Below are 6,285 nucleotides of genomic sequence, written 5' to 3'. Positions count from 1 at the left end.
AATACAGGCACACCAGGGACATGGCAGCATCTGATCATAGGAAATGGGAGGGGACCGAGATCAAAGGGGTTGCTGGAGGAGGAATAGTAGGAGGGAGGGTGGGCTTTGGAGGCAGACATCCTAGGCTGAGATTCTGACTCTGCCGCTGACTGTGCAGATATGGGCAAATTATTAACCCTCTTGGCCCTGGTCTTTTTTTTAAGAGGGGGATAAAATGTACTTCCTAGTAGGGTTGCTACAAGGATTAAGCTAAACCATGCTTGCAAAACACTAAGAACCGAGCCTGCCGTATCATATACACTTAGTAAGCTGTTGTTATTATTACTACTACTATTATTTTCTATGCCTGGGAAGCTTTCCTATCCTCCACTTAGCCTGCTGCTTCCTATGTCTCAGCAGTTAGCCTAAGTCTCGCCTCTTCCCCAAAGCCTTCCCTGACAGCCACAGTCCCATCTAGTTCCTGCCATTTTCCATAAACATTTATGAGATTTAATCTGTAGCATCATATTTTAAACCTCACTTGCAAGCCACAGTATTTTATCCTTTTCTTCCCCTTGTCTAACCCAAGTGTTAGCAAACTACAGCTCACGGACAAAATTCTGGTCTCTTGACTAAGTTTATATAGCCCACGGGCTAAGAATAGCTTTTACATTTTTAAATGGCAGAAAAAAATCCAAAGAAGAATATTTTGTGACACATGAAAACTATATCAATTCAAATTTCAGTATGCAGAAATATTTTATTGGAATGCAGCCACAACCGCTCACTTACATGTTCTCTATGGCCGTTTGCGTGCTACAACAGCAGAGTTGAGTAGTTGGGAAATCATATCTGATTTCCATTTTAAAACAATAGCTGTATGAGGTAGGTGTTTCTTGGTTTCATCCTACAGATAAGAAAATTGAAGTTCAGAAAGGCCTGGTGGCACATGATTATACAACAAGGGAGGGGCAGAGGTGGGATTTGAACCTAGGCTTCACCAGATTCTCTCTCCTACCCTCTCTGTCTCCCTGCCTGGCTGGCACAGAGTTGAGGCTCAATAATTGTTCATTAGGTACATTCAAAGTAACTTCTGAGGCTTGGACAGTGAACGAACTTCATGCCCCACATGCTGTCCCATCTGCTCAGCCCTCCTTGGTGCTGGGGACAGCTAGTAACTTGGTCTAGGGGCTGGCCGGCAGGTCCCTTCTGTTTTCCTTAACCTTGCACCAGCTATACAGAGGCCAAATGACAAACATTAATTAAAGTACGAGGGAACAACTTAATTAGCCCCTAATAGTCACATGCTGCCAATTAAACACCTCGATGGCTAGTTTACTCTGGAGCTTAATTAGGTGTTTCTCAATAAATCTAGCCGCGTGCCACCAACTGTCAGTTTAGGAGCCAAATCTTTTCTTGGATGTGTCCTCTCTTAGGAGGGAGAAGGATGGCCGGTTTGGCAGGAGAAGTGAAATCTGATATTGGAATATCTCAAGATTATTTCATGGTCTTGTTGCATATTTTACACTTGATGGAAATTACTGTGCAGGTAATATTTCACTTCCTGCCTATGCCACTGCCGCACCTCTGGCAACAAGATCCTTTAGCTAAAGGGCCCTTAAGAGAGGAACACTGGAAAGTGCACTGCAGCTTTCCCCTCGTGTAGGTAATGTGGAATCCCACTCTTTGGTGCCAAACTGTCAACTGCCTAAGCACAGGATATCCTCTTAATAACTGTGAAATTGAATTTGTTATGAATGAAGGGCTAGGGTTTAATAGCACCACAGGGGAGAAAGTTTGAGGCTACTGCAAGGTCGGTATGTGTAACTGAACCAAGAGACTGCTGAAGACATCAGCCTGTATCTGTTGATGGAGTAGCCACAACAAGGGAGATGAGGCCCACTGGCACCTGGCACTATTCAGGGACATGAGCATTGAGTGTGGGGTGGCATTTTCCAAGAAATGTATATAAGCACAGACATTTCCCAGGGATGCTGACCAGCTTGGCAAGGGGACCTGGAAACCAAATCAGTTAAGGAATGGAGGAAGATATTGAGAGTGCTGAGTCTGGGGCCTAGGTATTTCTTGGGACCAGGAACTGGGTAAGGTAGGCATCATGGAATTGATGACAAGCTGCCATAAGCCAGAGGGCATAAGCAAATTTCATGTTGTCCCATAGGGCAGTACGAGTGTCCAGAGGTGAGTGTTACCATAACCCATGCTTTTAACTACTGTACTTTCTGGACAAAGAGTACAGGTTAGTAGGTTTACAGCCCTCCCCATAGCTGGAGCCATTTCTTCCCGATTTGCAGGCTGTGGCAACTTTTTTTTTTTTTTTTGAGATGGAGTCTTGCTCTGTTGCCTAGGCTGGAGTGCAGTGGCGTGATGTTGGCTCACTGCAACCTCCACCTCCTGGGTTCAAGCTATTCTCTGCCTCAGCCTCCCAAGTAGCTGGGATTACAGGCCCCTGAGGCTGTGGCAATTTTAAGACAGGACCCCAAAGGTCTTTGACTCTCTTCTCACCAAGAGGTGGGGTCTCTGCCCCCTTTCCTTGAATCTGCGCTCTGTGACTACTTCACTATTAGAATATAGGGGAAGTAGCAATGTGCCAGTGTCCAGCCCTGGGCCTTAAGAAACTGGAAGCTGCCACTTCTCTCTTCTGGGATGCTCACTGTTGGAACCCAGCCACTGCACTGTGGGGAGGCAGACAAGTACATGGACAGCCATGTTAGATGTTTCAGCTGACAGCTCCAGCTGAGGCCCCAGCCAGAAGCCAGCATTAACTGCCAAACACATGAGCAAGACTTCTGATGATTCTCTGCATGGAGCAAAACGAGCTGTCCCCACCAAACCCTGCTCACGTTGCATGTTTGTGAACAAAATAAATGCTTGTTGTTTCCAGCCCTATATTTGGGATGGCTTGTTAGACACCCGGAACATAAGCCAAGGCAGGCTCCCAATCCTCAGAACCAGTCCTAACCTGAAGTGTCAGATATTTCTGTCTCTGCAGTAAGCCAGGTTAGCCTGACCTTGATTCATTGCCTGGTGTATAGTAGTGTCTCAGAGTATTTGTTTAGTGGATGAATGAATACAGGTTCCCGTCATGCAAACTGGACTATTGCCTTAGTCCTAAGATGGGATCTTCCTTGAGTTACCCTAGTTAAGTGTTTTTTAAACCTTGATTTTAACAATGGTGTCCATTTTTCAAATACAATCTGAAGGTATTCAAAATATGTAAGTGATCTAAGTGTGGAGTTCCTTTAGGTGAATTGAGGGGAGGGCTTTCAGCCCTATCAGCTCAGCCTCCCACTTACCACCTCACCAGGACCCCAAGGAACTTGGTTTCTGTGGCGCTCAGCTGGAGAACCCAATGCCCTTGTTTATAGAATTCTTACCTTTTGCTTTTGGTCCTGTTCCTGAGTTATCTCTCAACCACTTTTCTCTTCTTTTTTCTCCCAGGGGTAACCACCACAGGCCCACAGGCTAAAATTGAGCTGGAGTAAGTGGCAACAGAGAGTATTTATTGTCCCCTAAGAGCCCTGGTAAGCTTCTGAGAAATTAAGTGCTCATTTCCTAGCAGATAAAAGTGAGTATTTGGCCAGGCACAGTGGCTCATGCCTCTAATCCCAGCACTCTGGGAGGCTGAGGTGAGTGGATCGCTTGAGCCCAGGAGTTGGAGACCAGCCTGGGCGAAACCTTGTCTCTACCAAAAAAAAAAAAAAAAAAAATTAACCAGGTGTGGTGGTGCATGCCTGTAGCCCCAATTACTTAGGAGGCTGAGGTGGGAGAACTGCTTGAACCCAGGAGGTCGAGGCTGCCATGAGCGAAGGTTGCACCACTGTTCTCCAGCCTGGGTGACAGAACAAGACCCTGTCAAAAGAAAGAAAGAAAGAGAGAGAGAAAGAGGGAAAGAGGGAAAGAGGGAAAGAGAGAAAGATGGAAAGAGAGAAAGAAGGAAAGAAAGAAGGGAAGAGAGAGAGAAAGAAAGAAAGAGAAAGAAAGAAAAAGCAAGCAAGCAAGCAAGCCAGTCCCCAGCCCCTGAACCTTAGGGCCCCATGGGGCAATGGTGCTGGCCCTTCCTTTGGGAGGAGATTGAGCTGGCTGTGGTCTGCCTTGCCATGATGGGGGAAGGGCAGGGGGCTGCGAGAAGGGATTCTCCACTTTTGGGTGATGGAGCATTTAGCAAAGCTGATCAGGAGCACTTGCCTTTGGGCTGAAGCAGAGAGGTTCTGAGCTGTCACCTGGGGGCAGGCTGAGCGCTCAACAGACCTGGGTGGGAGGAACCTAGGTGTAAACATGGCCTTGGAAAGGAGAATGTGAGGCCTGAGGGGAGCAACAGTTCACTTTTTCTCCGTGACTGGACCCAGGAGGCTGGGCCCAGGAGTGGACTTGGGGTTGAGACTGGGGTGCAGGGTAGTGGAGGGGTGATAAGAAATGGGGTCAGAAGGTACAAGGACATCAGAGAGGGACCAATGAAATGGGTCTGGGCTGGGAGGGCGGCCAGGGAAAGGACGGCTGGCAAAGAGCAGGGCAGGGTGTCAGAGAAAGGCAGCTGATCCAGAAGCTCACCCAGTTGGAAGTGCCTGAGGGTGGGAATACAGGAAAGAGAATGTGGGAGGAATCTGGGGAAGGGATCATCAAACTTGCTGAAGGCTCTGAGGGAGCCACTCAGTTTCCTCCTGAACTCCAGAGGGATCCTGTGGCCCAGGCCTAAGGGACCATTGCTTCTTTAGAGAGTCAGTGTGACGCAGTAGGAGAAATGCTATCTAGGAGTCAGGGGTTCTGGCCTCTCGTCTGATTTGGCCACTGGCCAGTCATTTTGGTTTTCTGAGTCTTTCACTCCCTTGTCTGTAAAGTGAGAAAGTTGATTGGTATTGATTTCCAGGTCCATTTGGGTTCTAGCAATTGCATGATTCACTTCAACCCAATAAACACAAGTGGGTCAGGTACAGCCTTGGGCCCTGGCGGTGCAGGTGGACCAGTTCCCCATGACTTCATGGAGCTCATGCTGTAGTGAGGAAAGTGGACATTTCTACAGGTAGCAGGGCTACCAAGTGAAAGTGGGAAGAAAAACATGATTTTATTACTAGGCCCGGGTCAAAAGTGAGGGGTAGGTAATAAGGAGGGGGTAGAAAACCTTCAAAATGGGAGCTGAAGGAAGAGCTGGTTGATTTGGAGGTGAGACAGGGAGGTCTGGGAGGGTGTGCTTAAGGGTTCAGAGCAGAGTCAAGTTGAGGTAAGAAAAGACAAGGGAAATGTTTGTTTGTCCTCGGCCCATTGTGGACCTTTGGCCTGCTCTGAACAATTGGCTTCCTGTGCTGGACAAAGGGGTGTAGGCAGGCCGCCCTAGTACCCTTTGTTCTGGACACATTGTAGGGATGTAGCTCAGCAGCAGAAGCTCTCCAATCCATCTCCTTCATTTGAAACATGTACTAATTTTTTAAAGTATTGATTTTCACTTTGGAAAAATTAAAGAATTGAAAACACAAATAATTCATAACGTTAGCAGCCAGTAACACAGTGCCCATCCTTAGTTCTCTCTCTCTCTACACACACACACACACACACACACACACACACACACACACACAGGCATGCAGGCACACACAGAAGATTAGATTAGGCTATTTTTCTCACTTGGCAATATATTTGAACATCTCTTCTTGTCGATAAATATGAATCGATATCATCAATTTTAATGGCTTCATAGTAATTTTATTGTGTGAACATAACATAAATTATTTAACAATTCCTATTGTTTGAACTTTAAATTTCTTTCCCTTTTTAAGTTTGCTATAAGTAATGCTTTGATGGAAATAGTATTATGCATAGATATTTGCACCTTACCTTATTATTTCCTAGAATATAATGATTTTACAGCTTTTGATATATATTACCATATTATTCTCTAGAATTTGTTGTTCTCGCCTATTCCCAAAAGCAGTGAATAGATGTCCATTTCCCACCCCCCATGCTGACACCAGGCATTATAATTCTTTTTAATCTTAGCCATCTGAAAAGTAAAAAGGACATATCATTGTTTTAAGTCATATTTCTTTCCACCGAGGCTGAAAATGGTTTACATTTTTTATTGTCATTTACATTTCTTCTTTCATGATTTGCTTTTACATATCATTCTGCTATTTTACCCCCCATGGTGCATATATTAGTTTCCTAGGGCTGCCATAACAAATTACTACAAACTTGGTGGCTTAAAGCAACAGAAATATATTCTTTCATAGTTCTAGACGCTAGATATCTGAAATCAAGGTGTTGGTAGGGCTACGTTCCCTCTGAAGACTCTTA

This window comes from Homo sapiens, chromosome 1, assembly GCF_000001405.40.
Source record: "Homo sapiens chromosome 1, GRCh38.p14 Primary Assembly".
NCBI lineage: Eukaryota > Metazoa > Chordata > Mammalia > Primates > Hominidae > Homo > Homo sapiens.
This window is presented reverse-complemented; position numbering follows the sequence as displayed.